Here is a 20,083-nt window from a genome sequence, read left to right as displayed (position 1 = left end):
TGGAAAAGTAGATTTATATTTTAACACTTTCTCGCTGCTCTGTAATGCAGACATGGACAGAAAAAATTAAAGAAAGTCCTTATTTATCAGAAATGAACAAACAATTTAAGCCGTGAGTGGGGCTGGAATTACAGGCTTGCTGGGCTCTGGGTCTAGAAGCAGACAGTAGCTTGTTACTAGAAACAGGGACTCTAGAATGTTCCATGAGAGTTGGAGGCCTGGACACAAATTTGTTACTTGAAGCTAGTACCGGAATGGGACTCAATGTTTCATAAAGGAAGATTAAGGATGGGGAAATTGCTACCAATCAATGCTTGGAGCCTCTACATCCTGGCAAATGCTTGACTTGGGAGGTGGGAGGACACAGACTCGACAGCTTGACCAGCAGCTTAACCAAGCTGCCTGCTGACTCAGTGCCTTGATTTGTAACACCTCAATTATCACCCTAGGGAATCTCTAAACTCTTCTTATGAGCTTGTGTTCTGGACTGGGGTCTGGGAAACTACACAGAGGCAACTTCAAAACTTCTATAGAGAGGGAAAGCGAAGAGGGAGAAAAAAAATGAAAACAAAATCCATTCAGTTTAAAATAAGCCTTCATTTTAATAACTGTAAACATGTAAAGAAATCTAATGGTAAAAAAGAAATGGATTAATAACAAATAAGATTAATTTATTAATTTTATTTTATTAACTTAGTCTAACCAAGACTTTGAAATATATATATTTAAGGTATTTAAGGAGAAAAAAGGAGGCATAAAATTTATGAAAAATAAGAAATTATAAAACAAAAGCAACAAAAATGAAATCTGAAATGAAAAGGAATGAGTTAGAAATTTTGGAAAATAGAGCAGTGTTTCCCTTATTATCTGATCGTGTTTTCACTCCCAAGTTCTGGAATACTCAGGGTGGTAAACTTGCCACTGGATGATTACCAGTTGAAATTCTTTAGGGGGTGGGGAGGGAAGAGAAGCCAGAGAACTTTCAAAAAGATAAACAAAATCAATAAACCTTTATCTAGATTAAGAAAGAAAAAGAGAAGACCCAAACAAATAAAATTAGAAATGAAAAAGGAGACATGACAACTGATGCCAGAAAAATACAGAGGATCATAACAGACAATTATGAACAATTATACACCAACAAATTGGAAAATCTACAAGGAATAGATAAATTCCTGGGCACATGTAACCTACCAATACTGAATTGTGAAGAAATAGAAAATTTGAACAGCCCAATAGTGAGTAAGGAGATTGAGTCAGGAGTGAAAAGTCTCCCATCTAAGAAAAGCCTGGAACTTGATAGTTTCACTGTGAATTCTACCAAACGTTTAAAGAAGGACTAATACCAGCTCTTCTTAAGCTATTCCAAAAAACTGAAGAACAGGAAATTTTTCCTTACTCTTTCTCTAAAGCCAACATTACCTTGATACCCAAACCTAACAAAGACAACAACAAAAAAAGATGGCCAGGTGCGGTGGGTGGCTCACGCCTGTAATGCCAGCACTTGGGGAGGCCGAGGTGGGCAGATCACTTGAGCCCAGGATTCTAGAACAGCCTGGGCAAATGGCAAAACCTCGTCTCTACAAAAAATACAAAAATGAGCTGGGTTTGATGGTGAGCACCTGCAATCCCAGCTACTTTGGAGGTTGAGGTGGAAGGATGGCTTGAACCCGAGAGGCAGAGGTTGTAGGGAGCCGAGATCACATGACTGCATTCCAGCCTGGGTGATAGAGCCAGACCTTGTCTCAAAAAAAAGAAAAAGGAAAAGAAAACTACTAGTCAATATCCCTGATGAACTTAGACACAAAAATCCTCAACAAAACACTAGCAAATCAAATTTAACAACACTTTGAGAAGATTATTTACCATCTTCAAGTGAGATCAAGATGAATCCACTCCAGGCAAATGAGGATGGTTCAATATATGCAAATCAATAAATGTGATTCATTAACAAAATGAAGGACAAAAACCAAGATGTAGAAAAAGCATTTGACGAAATTCAACATCACTTAATCATAAAAACTAACAATAAATTAGGTATAGAAGGAATGTGCCTCAACACAATAAAAGCCATGTATGACAGACCCACAACTAACATCATATTGAATAAGAAAAAGCTGAAAGCTTTTATGGTAAGATTTGGATAAGGCAAAGATGCCCATTTCTTACCACTTTTACTCAGCATAATACTAGAAGTCTTAGCCAGAGTAGCTAGGCAAGATAGAAAAATAAAAGGTATCCAAATTGGAAAGGAGGAAGTAAAATTATCCGTGTTGGCAGATAACATGATCTTACATACAGAAAACCCTAAAGACTGTGCCAAAAAGCTGTTAGAACTAATAAATGAATTTAGTAAAGTTGCAGGATACAAAATCAACACACAAAAATCAGGAGTGTTCCTATATGCTAATAGCAAACTATCTGAAAAAAAAATTAAGAAAACAGTTCTATTTATAATAACTACCAAAAATAACTAGAAATAAATTTAACCAAGGAAGTGAAAGATCTTTACAATGAAAACTACAAAAAAACTGATGAAAGAAATTGAAGAAGACACAAGTAAATGAAAAGATATCCTGTGTGCATGAATTAGAAGAATTAATATAGTTAAAATGTCCATATTACCTGAAGTGATCTACAAAATCAATGCAACCCCTGTCAAAATACCAATGACATTTTTCATGGAAATAGAAAATCCTAAAATTTGAATGGAACCACAGAAACCTTGAATAGTCAAAGCAATTCTGACCAAAAAGAACAAAGCTGAACAAAGGTGTAACACTACCTGATTTAAAAATATACAACAAAGCTAAAATAACCAATAAAAACAGACAAACTAATGGAACAGAATAGAGAGCCCAGAAATAAATCCACAATTTACAGCCAACTGATGATATTCATCAAAGGTGCTACGAACACATTTTGGGAAAGGTCAGTCTTTTCCATAAATTGTGTTGAGAAAACAGGATATCCACAGGCAGAAGAAGGGAACTAGACCCTTATATAAAAAATGAACTCAAAATGGATTACAGACTTAAGTCTAAGACCCCAAATGATGAAACTACTATAAGAAAACATTGGAGAAATGCTTCATGACATGGGTATGGGCAAATATTTTTTTGGATAAGACCTCAAAATCACAGGCAACAAAAGCAATATTGGAAAAATGGGATTACAACAAACTAAAAAACTTCTGCACAGCAAAGAAACAATTAGCAGAGTAAAGAGACAACTTATAGACTGGAAGAAAATATTTGAAAACTACACGTCTGACAAGAGGTTGATATCCAAAATATAAAAGGAACTCAAACAACTCAATAGCAAGAAAACAAACCTATTACAAAATGGGCGAAAGACTTGAATAGACACTTCTCAAAAGAAGACATGTAGGCTGGGCACGGTGGCTCATGCCTGTAATCCCAGCATTTTGAAAGGCTGAGGTAGGCAGATTGCTTGAGCACAGGAGTTCAAGACCAGCCTGGGCAACAGGGTGAAACCTTTTCTCTGCAAAAGAACCCCACAAAAATTAGCCTGGTGTGGTAGGGTGTTCCTGTAATCCCAGCTGTTTGAGAGGCTGAGGTAGGAGGATCACCTGAGTTGGGAAGGTTCCCAAATATGAAAAATGAAAAACTAATTACACCACTGCTCTCCAGCCTGGACAACAGAGTGAGACTCTGTCTCAAAAAGAACAAAAACCAAAAACAACTGCATAATCTCTCATGTGAAATCTAAACAAGCTGATCTCATAGAAGGAGAGAGTAGAATGGTGTTTACCAGAAACTGGGGTGGTTATGAAAGAGAAGATGAGGAGATGTTGGTCAAAGGATATATAATCAATCACAGATAGAAGGCAGGAGGAAAAAATTTTTGCCCAGAATAGGCAAACATATAGAAACAGAAACCAGACAAGTGAGTGCCTGTGGCCAGGAGGTACTGGGGAGAAGATAGGAGGAGAAGAAGAGAAATGGGGAAATTACTGCTAATGGTTGTGGAGTTTATTGGATGAGGAAAACGTTCTAAAATTGATCGTGGAGATGGCTGCACAACTCTGTGAACATACTAAAAACATTGGAGTGTGCATTTTAAGTGTGTGAATTGTATGATACGTGAATTATATCTCAATAAACATTTTAAAAATAGAAATCTTGGAAAATAGAAAAAATTATGGCTTTTGGAATACAAAAATTTTATACTTACAGGGATGATTAGGGAATTGGAAGGTAGTACTGAAGAATGCCCTCAGCATGCAGCACAGAGAGAGAAAGGGGTAAAACATGAAAGCGTGTTGAAGAGACAACAGATGCTAGGTGGTGAGGAACCAACATTGGCCATTATATTTTGATGGCACATTATAACCCCATGTCTGTGATTCTTAAAAGTTGGTCAAACAGTGCTATATTTGAAGAAAATTGACTTATAGAGTAGGATTATACAAAACATGTGTATTAGTCTGTTCTCACGCTGCTAATAAAGACATACCTAGGACTAGGTAATTTATAAAGGAAAGAGGTTTAATAGACTCACAGTTCCATGTGGTTGGGGAGTTCTCACAATTATGTCAGAAAGGGAAGGGGAAGCAAGACACGTCCTACATGGCGGCAGGCAAGAGAGAGCTTGTGCAGAACTCTCATTTATAGAACAATCAGATCTTGTGAGACTTATTCACTACCATGAGAACAGCATGGGGAACCTGCTTGCATGACTCAATTATCTTCACCTGTCCCTGCCCTTGACAAGTGGGGATTATTACAATTCAAGGTGAGATTTGGGTGAGGACACAGCCAAACCATGTCAACATGCAAAGTAATGAAAAACACCAGATTCAGGATAAGCTATTTCTTCTGATGTGGGTTGAGAGTGCAGGTGAGAAAATCTTCACACTGCCACCATCTCATCATCCCTTTGACTTGTCTCACCCTCCTTAGAAAAATAATCACGGGGTGGGGAAGCTTCTCTGGGACATGAACAAATGAAGTCTATTTGTCATTTTGCCTTTAATTGCTTTTAATTAGTATAAACTTCATTACTAAAACATTTTAGCTATATCTGCGATTTTTTCTTTAGATATTACATATGTAAACAAAATATCACAAAACATTAAGATTCATTGGGGTGGCATGAGGGTACCTGAACATTCATTACTTTAGCCTCATTATTATACTTTTTTGTAGAAGGGAAATATTTTATTTGAAAATAAATTTCCAAAATTCAAAAGAAGCCATTTATTTAGCATAAGTGTTCAGAGCACTGGTTCTGGAGTTAGGTTTCTTGGGTTATTTCCTAACTTCTCAACTACAGCTGACCATTGAAAAACATAGGAAGTTAGAGGCACCAATCCCTTATACAGTCAAAAATCCACATATAACTTTTGACTCCCTGAGAACTTAACTATGAATAGCCCACTGTTGAACAGAAGCCTTGTTAGTAACATAAACAGTCAATTAACACATATTTTCTATGCTATATGTATTATATGCTGTATCCTTCAATAGAGTAACTAAGAAAATATTATTAAGAAAATCGTAAGAAAGAGAAATATATTTACTATTCATTAAGAAGTGGATCATCTTAAAGGTCCTCACCCTCATTGTCTTCACAACAAGTAGGCTGAGGAAGAGGAGGAAGAGGTGGGTTTGGTCTTGCTATTTCAGAGGTGGCAGAGGGAGAAGTGGAGGAGGTGGAAGGGAAGGCAGGCACACTTGGTATAACTTTTATTGAAAAAAATCTGCGTATAAGTAGACCTAGGCTCTTCAAGCCCATGTTGTTCAGAGGTCAACTAAGATAGTTTTGCGACTTTGGGCCAGCTGCCAAATCTCTCGCTATGCCACAGTTTTGTCCTCTGTAAAATGGATGTCATTATGGTGCCTAATTCTTAGAGGTAATTGAGGATTAAATGATATATAGATAGATAGATAGATAGATAGATAGATAGATAGATAGATAGATAGATACATACATACATACATACAGTCAAATACCTAGAAAATTTAGAAAATATGAATATGTAAAAAGAATAAAACAATCTCATTCAAATCATACAAATATTTTGATGGTTAAAGCTGCTGTCTTTTATTTCCTTGTGGTTTTGCATATAAATATAATGAATCCAAGACCCTCATGCAGTTGGGGGTCCAGCAATCAAAAGTAGTATTTAAAGATCTCAAATTCTTCATTGCCACTTCTCCAAAACCATGAAAGGATTCAAATACACTTTCATAGTAACGATTCAGGTGAGAAAATCTTCACACTGCCACTGTCTCCTCTTCTTCTGTCCTCTTCTATCCTATTTCCTCATACCCTGATGCTGTTCCACACCTTCTAGAAAATTCTTCCTCTTCTCCAGCTCAAGATACCTTCTCTCTATACTTCTACTGCAGCTCTTTATTATGTGGATTTAGTTGCTCTTTTGGTGGAAGTCTTGCTCCTTTTTCTTCCTCTTTAGTTCCTGTTCTCTCTCCATTATTCTGATTACACATCACAAAACTTAAATAATTTCAGAAAACAGAAAACCAGGAAAATTCTTGCCTTCTATCTCTTTTTTTTTTTTTTTTTTTTTTTTTTGAGATGCAGTCTCACTCTTGCCCAGGCTGGAGTGCAATGGCCAATGGTGCAATCTCGGCTCACTGCAACATCTGCCTCCTGGGTTCAAGCAATTCTCCTGCCTCAGCCTCCAGAGTAGTTGGGATTATAGGTGCCCGCCACCATGCCCAGCTGATTTTTTGTATTTTTAGTAGAGAAAGGATTTCATCATGTTGGCTAGGCTGGTCTTGAACTCATGACCTCAGGTGATCCACCCGCCTTGGCCTCCCAAAGTGCTGGGATTACAGGCTGAGCCACCCAGCCCAGTCCTTGCCGTCTCTTAAGGTAAGATGTCATTGATGGGGATGGTGAAGGTAGCTTGGGGGTCATGGTGGCAGTGATATGAGGAACCTGAACAGACAGAGATTGAATTCACTTTGGAGGGAGAAGGAAGAATGTGAATATTATCGTGTTACAATTTTATCTTATTTCCTATTAACACAAGCTAATATTGTTTATATTAATTTAAAACCACCTTTTAATATATTACAAATATTGCCCTTGTCTGTAATATTTTTCTATAACACCATTTTTCTTTGCATAATATCCCATAATATGTATTAAACATTTCCCTATAGTTGTTTCCAATTTTTTACTACAAAGCTTTGTGATCATCTTCATATCTGTAACTATGTTCATACATAAATTCTTAGAGAAGCATTGTTGAGTCCAAGGATATAGCAAATGTCTAAAATATTTTGGCGTCAGTGCTGTGAGCCACAAATGAGCTTTTTTCAAATATTAACATTTACAGCTATTATCCTTCATATATTACAACCCACAGATAATTTAGGGGAAGATTTTTATTTGTTTGTTTTTGTTTTGTTTTGTTTTGTTTTGTTTTGAGACGGAGTCTGGCTCTGTCACCCAGGCTGGAGTGCAGTGGCACGATCTTGGCTCACTGCAAGCTCCACCTCCCGAGTTTATGCCATTCTCCTGCCTCAGCCTCCCAAGTAGCTGGGACTACAGGAGCCTGCCACCACGCCCGGCTAATTTTTTGTATTTTTAGTAGAGATAGGGTTTCACTGTATTAGCCAGGATGGTCTCCATCTCCTGACCTCATGATCCGCCCGCCTTGGCCTCCCAAAGTGCTGGGATTACAGGCGTGAGCCACCGCGCCTGGCCTAGGGGAAGATTTTTGTCATCAGCTATTGTCTCAGCTTTCTTTGCAGAGATTTAAATATAACAGTCTTTTCAGTGGAGTGATAAATCTGTCTTTAAGTACTAGGCAGATCCAGGATGGTACAAAATTAACATCAAAGGACCTTTGTAAAATGATGCCTTTTGATGATCTTGTGACAAGGGTCAGGAGATGCGGAGAAGGGAAAGGGAATTGGTCTGGCAGGCTGAGGAATGTGCTCCACATGCAAGTGAAAAAGCGAGGATCTGCTAAGCTCCCGGAAACTCTGCCTCTTGATTAGTCATCCTGGGACATTACCCAACCTTCCTTGTGTCTGTTGCTGCTGAGTTTCATAATCCCATTCAATCTACACTATAATCCCATTCAATTTTACAATCCATTATAATTCTGAGTATGAAACAGATATTTGGGGAGTGCGAAAAGGAGAAGGGAAAAAGCAAGCAAAGAAAGTGTCTTCCAGACCAAGCATGCAGTCATTGAGAGGAAGAATCTGGAGTTCGTCAGGTTGACCATATTCATACCCTGCCAACCAGCTCAAAGAATCTTATCTCTATGGTTTTGCAGAGAATTGTCTGTGAGAGACAAACGTTGAAGCTTCTGCTGTATTAATGATTGTGAACAACCCAAATTCTTGTACAACTTTGAGTCCAAATCATACAATTTGGTACCTGACAGCTTTGTTTTATTTCTTGAGTATAACTCTTGATTCTCCAGTGAGGTGATAATTTATTGGTGGCCCGGATCACATCTTCTTTGAATTTCTCTCTCTAGCACCCAGCTCAGCACTGGTCTCACATGGGTTGTAGTCAGCATCCCACTTGCTTAAAATGGGCATTAGAATGAAACCTCCTCAATGTCAGGATTTTTAAGTTTTAACTTAATGGAGTGAGAAAAGTTAAATGTCTTCTGGGGAAGTTGGAATCAAACTTCAAGACACACTGGAGATCTGTAAGGAAGAAGAACTGGCTTACATCTGGATTGAGGGGAGTCTTGGAAAATACACACCTCTAGAGAAGGTTTCTTCACCTCCATGTATCCATCCATTCATCCATCCACTCACCCACCTATCACCCCCTCAGCAAACATTAATTGAATATACACAACACTCCATAATCACGTGCTTTGGGTATCTGCTGGTTTCCCTGCCTGAGATGCTATTTTCTCATTCTCCCCAAAGCTTCTATTATTTTTAATGTCTCAGCTCAGATATTATCTCTTAGGAAAGATTTTTTTGAGCCCATAGACAGTTTTAGGTGCTTCTTTTCTTACGTACCACTTTGACCTGGACATACTGTCATAAAATAAATTATAATATTGTCATGTTAATGCTTGTTTCAGATCTGACTCCCACAGACTACTTCTACTACCACTAACACCAGTAGAGCATCTGGCATACAGCAGGTGCTTGGAAATATATAAAACATATGTGGAATAAATACATGGATAAATAACTATATACATTAAATGTTAGAATGTGGCATTGGCCTGAGTACCCAATTCTGAGGCGTTCTACACAATTGCAATTTAGGTAGACCATTCTTTTTTTTTTTTTTTTTTGAGACAGAGTCTCACTCTGTCACCAGGCTGGAGTGTGGTGGCGCAATCTCGGCTCACTGCAACCTCCACCTCCTGGGTTCACTCCATTCTCCTGCCTCAGCCTCCCAAGTAGCTGGGATTACAGGCTTGTGCCACCACGCCCAGCTAATTTTTTGTATTTTTAGTAGAGATGGGGTTTCACCATGTTGGCCAGGATGGTCTCTAACTCTTGAGCTCATGATCCACCTGCCTTGGCCTCCCAAAGTGCTGGGATTACAGGCATGAGCAGCGGCGCCCCGCCAACCACTCTTGAATATCAGAACAAATTACACCACTAGCAAGTGGAAGCAGGGATTTCTGTGCAAAAGCCAGCCAAAGTCAAGCTTTCAACACAGATGGGCTCTGACAAGGAAGCCCAACAGGTTTGCATCACTTAGAGATAAGTAGTTCTTTTTAGGGATCTAGAAACGAAGGCCTAGCTAAACATATTTCTGACTTCATAGTTTCACCTTATGCAAATCATTTCTCAGTATCCAAATGAGTTGGCAAAAAACGGAGTCCATATTTTATCATGGTACACCCTTCCAGGAATTTTAGTAGTTGGCTATAAATCTCTGTATGTGCTAACTGAGAAACTTCTCCTATGAAAGCTCATTTTATTTATTTATTTATATTTTATTTTCTGAGACAGAGTCTCGCTCTGTCACCTAGGCTGGAGTGAAGTGGTGCGATCTCTGCTTGCTGCAACTTTTGCCTTCTGGGGTCAAGTGATTCTCCCACCTCAGACTCCCAAGTAGCTGGGACTACAGGTGTGTACCACTATGCCCAGCTAATCTTTGTATTTTTAGTAGAGACAGGGTTTCAACATATTGGCCAGGCTGGTCTCAAACTCCTGACCTCAGGTGATCTGCCTGCCTCAACTTCCCAAAGTGTTGGGATTACAGGCGTGGGCCATAGCGCCTGGCCATTTTAGATTAAGATCATGATAATCAGAGCAACATTTATATAGCTCGATAACTGAAGTATTTTCTGGGCATGTTGGTTGAGTAAAACAATTCTCCTTTGCAGATAGGTAAGGGTTATAAACACCTGGGAGGCAGGTTTCCGTGAACCAGTCTGGGACTTGAACTCCCATTGCTTACCCTGTGTTAGAAAACATAGTCTGTGTTGCTGGGTGTGGTAGCTCACACCTGTGATCCCAGCACAGGGAGGGATGGGAGGATGAGGCGGGTGGCTCACCTGGAGTTAGGAGTTCGAGACCAGACTGGGCAACGTGATGAAACTGCATCTCTACTAAAAATACAAAAATTAGCCGGGCGTGGTGGCGGGCGCCTATAATCCCAGCTACTCGGGAGGCTGAGGCAGGAGAATCACTTGAGCGCAGGGGGCGGAGTTTACAGTGAGCCAAGATTGTGCCACTGCACTCCAGCCTGGGTGGCAGAGCAAAACTCTGTCTCAAAAAAAAAAAAAAAAAAAAGGAAATAAAAAAATATAGTCTGTTTTTCAAACAATGAATTTACAAACAGATTTTTGGAACACAAGGCTTGTGTATATACTTCTCACCAAATTTACATGGGTCCCTATTGCTGCTGAACATCCGAACTTTAAACATGGTGTTTGAGGCCTTCTTACCTTTCCAGACTTACCTCTCACCTTGCTCCACCTAGCTGTGTTATGGCCAAACTGAACTACATGCGCTTACTCAGCCTACAACGCTTTCTTGCTGCTATACATTTGCTCATGCTGTCCCCCCACTTCTGTTTGTTAAGATCCTACCCTAGCTTTAAGAATCAACTATGGCCTTTCCTGATCAATTAAACATGATCACTTCTTCCTGTAAGTACTAAAGGTACTTTATCATTTAAAAATGATGACAGTTGTCATTTATTGGCAACTCCTATACACTGACCTTTGTACGAGGCACTTTAGAAACATTGTTTAGCATAATCATCATGAAATTATATGGGGATAGGCATGCATTTCAGATGTGCCTCTTCCATGGTGCTCTCCCTTTCTCTACTGACTGGCCAAATGCACAGGAGGACAAGGTTTGAGAGCAGAAGTCGGCAAACTGTGGCTCACAGGCCAGATCGGTCCTGCTGCCTGATTTTGTAAAAAAAGTTTTACTGGAATGCAGCCATGCCCATTCATGTACATATTGCCTATGGCTACTTTTGTGCTACAGTGGCAGAGTTAAATAGTTGTGACAGAGACCATAGGGCACACAAAGCCTAAAATACTTACTATATGGCTTTTTTTTTTTTTTTTTTTCAGATGGAGTTTTGCTCTTGTTGCCCAGGCTGGAGTGCAATGGTGCCATCTAGGCTCGCTACAACCTCCACCTCCCAGGTTCAATGGATTCTCCTGCCTCAGCTTCCTGAGTAGCTTGGATTACAGGCATGTGCCACCACACCTGGCTAATTTTGTATTTTTAGTAGAGATGGGATTTCACCATGTTGGTCAGGCTGGTCTCGAACTCCTGATCTCAAGTGATCCACCTGCCTTGGTCTCCCAAAGTGCTGGGATTACAGGCATGAGGCACCATGCCTGGCCCTATATGGCCTTTTACAGAAAACATTTGCCAGCCTCTGGACTAAGAGTATGGTGGAACCACAGGATGAAAAGATCCCGACTCCCTGATTGACTACATGGAGCAAAACTCCTCATCTTCCCCAATCCAGTCAATCTACACTGAACTGTAATAGAAGTGAGAAACAAGTTTTTATTCTGTTAATACACCAAAATCTCCTAGTTATTTTTTCCAGTAGGTAGCCTGGCTTCACTAATACAAGAGCGAAGTAAGGATGCTAACTATCTGGATGGCAACCAAACAATTCCTCTTTCCATGATTCACGAATATGTGAAGTTTGCTGCTAAGTTATTCTGTTGGCATCAAAGGCCTTTTAAAATTAGAAGAGGATAAGGGAAATTCTAAGACTCAAAACAGGAATGTGCTCCACAAAATAACTTTCATGAAGGGTGTGGCGATTGAGTTGCTAGTGATTTAACTGAGTCAGTAAGAACGGTAGGAAAAAAGGCCCAACAATTTCTGATCCATATACTTGGTTGGGATTCAACTGAGGAAGGAAAGATTGAGAAAATGTGTGAAGCTCTTCTGTGTGCCAGGATCTTCCAGAGTTAGAGGAACTGAAACTGAGGAGCAGATATTCACTTCTCACAGCTTCTCTCTTGAAAGAGCAGTTTGTGACAACCTTTTATTTCTTTAATGAGAAATGCTGGGGAAATGAACCCAGAGATAAACATGAACTTTCCCCTGATTTCTGGCATGCTGGAAGTGACTCAATGTCCTAGTTGGAATTTGAATTAAGTTAACAGCATTTATCTGCTTATCTTTGGATTGTATTTTTTTTTTGAAAGGAGAATAGCATTGTCAGTAATTTACACATTCTCCAGTGGCCATTGGGGCTCCTAACCCATGGCCTTCCTTAGGGATAACAGAATGAAGATATCTATCCTCTTGCTAGTTGTTCTTTGATTTATCAGAACATAGTGATCTTGAAACCATAAAGCCAGTTATAAATTAACTGATCTTAGCTTCTCAGTTTCATGGAATCATCAAAGTTCAAGTTGGATAACTATTGCTAAGATTATTTATGAGGGCCCTGCCCAAATATTTTGCACGAAAGACATAGGCATAGGTGACTACTGGCAACAGTGCAGCTTCTCTGCTGATCTCCTATTTGTCTAGACGGGGAGCTGCAAAATGGTATCACATTCCTCCTGCAGATATGTTATGTGTGACCCATATAGTGTTTCAAAATCAGAATGATTTCACACAAAAATGCAGCTTTGAACTTCTCTAAAAAACATAGGATGATCTAAAAATACTGGACCCATATTCTCATGCATTAATGATAAGTTGGAGCTAGAATTAGACAGGCATGCATGCACCTTCTAGCTTGGTGTGGTTTCCAATGCCCTCTCTTATCTTAGCCCGGGCCTGCTGGTTTTTACATTACTTTTCTGACATCTGTAGGCATCAGAGTTCCTGGATCTCATTCCCGGGCTCCTTGTTGTCTCCTCTGCTTGCCTCAAAGTTTTTGTTTGTTTGTTTGTTTGTTTGTTTAATAGAAAGAGGACAGATTTCGGATTCTGATAACCTGGATTGGCATCTTAGATCTACCATTATGTGACCCTGAACACAAGTTATTTGATGTCTCTAGTTTCCTTTTTTATAAAATGCCTAAAACAAAAGATGGAGTGTTTAGAAGGTTATCCAAGGTAATGCATGAAAAACCCGCTTTAGTTTCAGGCTCTCATCTTCTCCTGTAGGGCCACTGCATCAGTCTCCACCTTGGTCACCTGCATACAGTTTCGTCACTTCTCCATTCCATAATTTTAAATTACGTTGAGCACTTACTCTGTGTCTGACACAGAGCTGGGGATTCAATGTTTGGTGAAAACAGACTCAGTCTCTATCCTCATGAACCTTGCAGTGCTACTGGGGGACGCAGAACTAATCAAATAGTCATACACATAGATGTAAAATTGTCATGGGGTCAAGCACTATGAAGTGGATCACCTTAGCATTAAGAGAACATGTGACAAGATTCTTAACAAGGCCAGGGGGTCAGACAAGGCTCTTGTGGAGAGCATTGCTAAGTTGAGATCTGAAGGTAAGAAGAAATTGTTCAGTTGAAGAGGAGTGAAAATAATATTCTAGGCAGTGAGAGCCACATGTGCAAAGGCTCTGTGGGAAGAGAAAACATAGAAAACACAAGGCACTAGAAGAAATCCGGTGGGTCAAGAGAAGGGGGAATAAGGGAGAGTTGGGGGCATGAGGCTGGAGAGAGGGAGGTAGGGGCCAAATGGCATTGCAGGTGATGTTCAGGAACTTTATCATCTTAAGAATAGCGGGAAAGCCACAGAAGATTTCAGCGAGGGGTAGGTGCAACATGATAAAATTTCCTTCATGAAAAGGTAACTCTATCTGGAGTGAGGACATCAGATGGGAGGAAATATTAGGTTGAATGCTATGGAACTGCCACTTCCAGGCTGGTTTTGACTTACAAGATAGCAATTTTATATGGTACCACCTGATAGAGTGGATGCAGGGTAGACCAGTTAGGAGACTGGTGAGAGATGATAGTGGTTTGAACTAGGATGAGGTTTTGGAAATGGACAGAGTGGGCAGATATTTAGAAAGTAAAATTAATTAGCCTTAGTGATGAATTGGTATGGGGGTGTCAGGGACAACTCATGTGCCTTAATGGGAAGTGGTGCCATTTGTGAGTAGGGTGCATTGGCAGATGAACAGGCTTGGTAGGCAGGAATGATTTCCCTTTTAGCTAAAAGTGCCTTTGCAACAACCAAGAGGAGATGGTCTCTCAATGTCTCTATAGAAATATCTTGCTTTGGCTTTTGCGGGATTCCTAGGGCTTTGAATGACCCTATATACTATGTTAAATTATCAGTTTAAGGTTCCACACCATGAAGGTTTTATAAATTAAGGCCCCAGACTTGTGGGTAGTATAAGATCGTAGTTTGATTTTCATTGGTGAATGTTTTTTTAGCCCTCTGAAACCACACATAATAGCTTGTTTATGCAGATAGCTCAATTTCATTCTTTCCCTTCTTTAGGCCTGAATTTTTTTTTTTTTTTTTTTTTTTTGAGACAGAGTCTCACTCTGTCACCCAGGCTGGAGTACAGTACAGTGGTACAATGTTGGCTCACTGTAACCTCTGCCTCCCAGGTTCAAGCAATTTTTGTGCCTCAGCCTCCCAAGTATCTGGGACTACAGGTGCATGCCACCAAGCCTGGCTAATTTTTGTATTTTTAGTAGACATGGAGTTTTGCCATGTTGGCCAGGCTGGTCTTGAACTCCTGGCCTCAAGTGATCCGCCCGCCTCAACCTCCCAAAGGGCTGGGATTACAGGCATGATCCACCACACCTGGCCTTATTATTATTATTATTATTTTTGGTAGGCATGAGAAATGTAGCTCCCTTTCCCTAAGGGGTCCATATTGCCACCTGAAACTCCCATGGCCTCCTCCTGTTATCAGCTCATGTTTATTCCTCTGACTTGATTTCATGCTATTCCCGGCACTGGAAATTTCTTTTTTTCTGATTGAACTTGGTTATGTGGAAAATATTTTTTCTATATTTTGTTCAGGATTTCTGTGTAGTAAGGGGCCTGTTTATGTCAACTCAGTGGTCTGGGTGGTCAGAAGCAGTCTAGTAAATTTTCTACACATATTAGTATAATTATTTTCTAATTGTTCTTCTTCTTTTTTTTTAATGGAGTCTTGCTCCATCACCTAGGCTGGAGTGCAGTGGCACAATCTTGGCTCACTGCAACCTCCGCCTCCTGGATTCAAGCGATTCTTGTGCCTCAGCCTTCTGAGTAGCTGGGATTGCAGGTGCACACCACCACACCTGGCTACTTTTTGTACTTTTAGTAGAGACAGGGTTTCACCATGTTGACCTGGTTGGTCTCAAACTCCTGGCCTCAAGTGATCCCCCTGCCTCAGCCTCCCAAAATGCTGGGATTACAGGTGTGAGCCACTGCGCCCAGCCACTTTTCTGCCATTTGACGTAAGTATGCATCTCTTGTCACATGGCAGGGAAATCCTGCAGACCAGTTGTTATCTGGGACTGGGCTTCAGGCTCAAGGAATATAAGAGTGTGTATACATCCTGGGTGCTGAACTTGAAGTTTGATGTCAGATGGAAGTTGCTTTGCAAGACCTTCAGAAGGACATCTCTGATTCCCACCCCTTACCACAGTGTCTGGCATCTAATAGTTGCTAAATAAATGTCTGTGTCATTGAATTGAAATGGAAACAATTATAAGTGGAGAAGAGGGGAGTTCTTGGCATATGCTTCACGATGATATAAAAATTCTGTGATTGGGACACAGAATTGCAATCAGGATGGTTTTTCCAAACCCCAGAATGATTTGTATTCTCAATGGAGCATCCAACTTACTGTTCCATCGCCTCTCACCCATGCATAAAATATAGATGGCAACACTACTGTCTGAAGTTCTTAGATAAAACTTTTATGGATAATTCACTTTCATTCACATATCATACACTGATTATTTACTATGTGCAAAATTTGTTTGCTAGGTTCTATCAGATACAAAATGGTGACTAAGACATGGGCTCTACTCTCTGTCCTCATCCACTCTACAGTTTAACTGTAATGGGTGTGGGCAAAAGTGTATAAGTAACTGAAGTCAAAGTAATAATTCCTTATCAGATGCTTTCAGTGTGCCAGGGACTGTGCTAAGACTTTTACTTGGATCAGGTCATTTGATCCTTACACAACTCTGTGAAGTGGGAGCTATTATTGTCTCCATTTTACCAATGACGGAACTGAAGCACAGAAAAGTTAAACATCCACAAGGTCACACAGCAAGAAAGAGATGGAGCCAGGACTGAAACCCAATCATTCTAGTTTCAGACCTCAAAGGTTCAAATATTTTGCTATATGGTTGCCCAAATAATCCATGATGGATGGTGATATGTTCTGGAACAGATGTTCAAGCTCAGGCTGTGTGCACAAAGGAAGGCTCAGGAAAAGCTCTATAGAGAAATCTGTTTTTACACAGTCTTAAAGAATGAGTAATATTCTGACAAATAGTGATGGGCAAAGAGGTGTCCTAGGAGTAGGAAATTGCCTGAGCAGAGACAGAGGGCAGAAGAAGGCACCACTGCATGTTTGGGAAACTGAAAATAAACAGTTCAACGTGGCTGAATGTGAGATAAAGGAGGAAAGAAGAGTTGGTTGGGACTTAAGTTTCAGATGAAGACCTTTGGAGCAGGAGGTGGGGAAGAGACAAGTGACATTTCTCTCACTGTTGGTCATAAAAACAGTAAATCCTATGAACAACTGAAGCTTCTAAAATCGACTCAGCCTACTCTCTGTTTGGGAGCAGTAGTGGGGCATTTATCCCAAGGAGGAAATCAGATGACTTTGGAGGTTTTAAAATCTTTTCTGGAGTTCAAAGGCAAGGCTTCTTAACCTGGGGGCTCTGGACTCATGGATGGGTGTCAGGGCGCTTGGCACCTCAGGAAATTGTGGGCCAAGTTTTGCATTGCATGAACGTATGTGTTTTTTGTCGAGGAAGATTGTTCATAAGATGCCTCAGTTTCTCTAAGGGTACTTGATCAAATACCCTTTGCAAACCACTGTTCTGAGCACAGAGTCAGCACCCATCTTTCTGGGGCCTTCCTGGGACTGAGGAACTGGAACCAATGTTGTGCAAAAGTCAGAACTGAGAGTTTAAGTTCCAGATTCACAAGTAAAACTTCCCAGGGAAATACCACCGCTGTGCATCAGTGGAGGCCTGCTTGGTGTTCACCTTTGCCCTGGGATTGCAGGCTACCCTGCTGGGCAGTCCCGAGCAGGTGGTACTAGGTAAAGGCACATCTCATGTGAGGTGTCAGCAGGAACTGGAGCTTCTGTCCCAGGAGGTTTACAAGAGTATTAGGAAGCTGAAGTTTCCAGGCAGATGACAGCTGTCTGGAAGGATCTCTACCCATTGCATTGCAAACCCAACCCACTGGAGTCACTCAGCAAGGAAGCAGTCTTGAGAATGAGGCAATCTGTGGGCAAAGCCTATGAGAAAATCCTTCATTTCCTTCTCTTTGTCACATCATTTCAACACTTGCCTGGCAGGCCCTGCCATTCCCAATACCAGCTGAGGTGACTGAGGGCAGGAAGGCAGATATGCCAGAGATGAAAACAGGGTCTCCAGGCAAATCCTTTGATTCATGGAAATAGCTGTGGTAGAGGCTGGTTTGGTCATTAGTGGCATATTTTGCATAATGATATCTTTGATAAAGGGAAACAGTCTTGTGTATATTACTTAGGATTAAGACTCTCTGCATGTGACAGAAAACTCAGGACAGCAGTGCCTTAAACATGATAAAAATTTATATCGCTCTCATGTAAATCAGATCTGGAGTTGGGCAATAAGGGCTGTTTTGGCAACTGATTCCAGATGAGCAGGGACCCAGGCTCCTTCTGGCTTGTTTTTCTTCTAAACTTCGGGGGCTGCTTCATGATCCAGGATGACTCCTCAGCTTCCAGTCATTGTGTTCATATGCCAGCACAGAGGAAGGAAGAAGAGGGGAATACGGGAGCTCCCTTCCTTTTAAGGACACTTCCCCAGAAGCCTCAAGTTTCAGCCTGTTTACATTTCACTGTCCAGAACACGTTGGCCACAAATATAATGCCCAGTGTATTCTTTTCATCAGAAAATCTCTAATTAAAAAAAAAAAAATGGGCTGGGCACAGTGGCTCACACCTTTAATCCTAGTGCTTTGAAAGGAAGATCACTTGAGCCCAGAAGTTTAAGACCAGCCTGGGCAACATGGCAAAATCCCGTCTCTACAATGAATAAAATAAAAAACATTAGCCAGGCATGAGGGCAAGTGCCTGTAGTCACAGCTACTCAGGAGGCTGAGGCGGGAGGATCCCTTGAACCCAGGAGTTTGAGGCTGTAGTGAGGTGTGATCATGCCTCTGCACTCCAGCCTGGATGACAGAGCGAAATTCTGTCAAAAACAAACAAACAAACAAAAACAAAAGCAAATCCACTATCTGCTACAGTTTCCCAGTGAATGTTGCAATAATCAAGTATTCTCTAAGAGACCACGTTAGACCTTTAAAGATTATTTTCTCGGGTCATACTCCTGTTAGGAATCTAGGCTAGAATCTGTTGCCTGGTACTTACAGGCCTATTCTAATTAAAGAGGCAGAGATTCATAGTGGTTTACAGCTTCAAGAGGGCTTAAAAGGTGTTCCTTCTAACTGCATAATTTCACAGATAGGGAAACAGACGCCCATAGAGACTTAAAAATACACAGTGAAAACAGGTTGGGGTCATGAAGAAAATCAGGGGCAGAGCTAGCTCTGGAACCTACATCAACTGATTTTAAGTCCAAAGTTCTTCCTGCTACCTCATAGGCTTCTTTTGAAATATCACTTAAAAAAGAAAAACTTTTACACTGATGGTTCACTGGAAATTCAAGGATATTGGGAGTTTTCTTGTAATTGAACTTTCTGTCAAAATCCCTTTGCTTCAATTGATTTTAGGGAATATTTCTAACATTTACCAATTCTTTTTCCTGACCTCATTCAAGTTAAGTGTGATAGATGGAATTTATATTTTCTTTAAGTTTGCACTATTTTGTGGTGGATTAGGGTCATTGTTTGGTCATCAGCTCACATTTCCCACCTCACTACAGATTAAAGTTTAGCAATGTTTTATAAGAGATGCAAAATATTCACTGATTTTCTTCTGACATTATAAGTATGTGTTTGTGTGAATGTTATGAACAAGAATAAGGTAGCCGAAGGTCTAGAAATACCAGGAAAGATAGCCTGATAGAAGCAGTTGGCTCATTTTTAATAAAAATGATTCCATGTACCCCTTATGGCATTTGTGCAATAACTTAGCCAATATTTATTATAGGGCATTGGGCTGAACGTTCTGTGACCTTGTGATATCCTCTAGAAATTATTGGTTTTTCAAAAATAAATCCCTTATACGAGCTTGTTTAATAGCTGCTAGAGAGGGTTTTTGTGGGTTTTAATAAGGTATAAGTGATGTCCTGTAGGCTGCTGCCAGATAGGAGCTTTGGTGTCATTTTTCATTGGGAAAGAGAGTGGTTTTTCTAAAGGTCTGGGGGAGGGGTGTGGGAAGTTGGGGGAATGAGTAGCTTTCTCTGGATCCAGCTGGGAAAAGATGGGTTGAGTAGAACTCTTGTGCCCACCAGGAGGCCTTGGGAGCTAAGACTAAGATGCAACTCAGAGGGAAATAGCCGCCCTTCCGTGTGGTGGAGTTTAGTTTCA

General features: G+C 40.5%; 1 protein-coding gene across 1 annotated transcript in view, besides 1 other annotated feature; it reads left to right on the top strand.

Annotated features, from left to right (window-relative positions):
* GLIS3 (GLIS family zinc finger 3) overlaps nt 1-20,083 on the top strand; it is a 666,339-nt gene that overhangs the window by 47,094 nt on the left and 599,162 nt on the right. The gene's annotated exons all lie outside the window — the stretch shown is intronic.
* Nucleotides 18,129-18,423: a silencer, noted in NCBI's record as "tiled region #14111; K562 Repressive non-DNase unmatched - State 24:Quies". NCBI's record gives its function as "represses a minimal TATA promoter and a strong SV40 promoter by Sharpr-MPRA in K562 cells {active_cell/tissue: K562}" and the evidence as "EXISTENCE:reporter gene assay evidence [ECO:0000049][PMID:27701403]".

The sequence above is a fragment of the Homo sapiens genome, chromosome 9 (assembly GCF_000001405.40).
Source record: "Homo sapiens chromosome 9, GRCh38.p14 Primary Assembly".
Classification (NCBI taxonomy): domain Eukaryota; kingdom Metazoa; phylum Chordata; class Mammalia; order Primates; family Hominidae; genus Homo; species Homo sapiens.
Note: the sequence above shows the minus strand (reverse complement) of the source record. Positions and strands in the feature narration are given on the sequence as shown.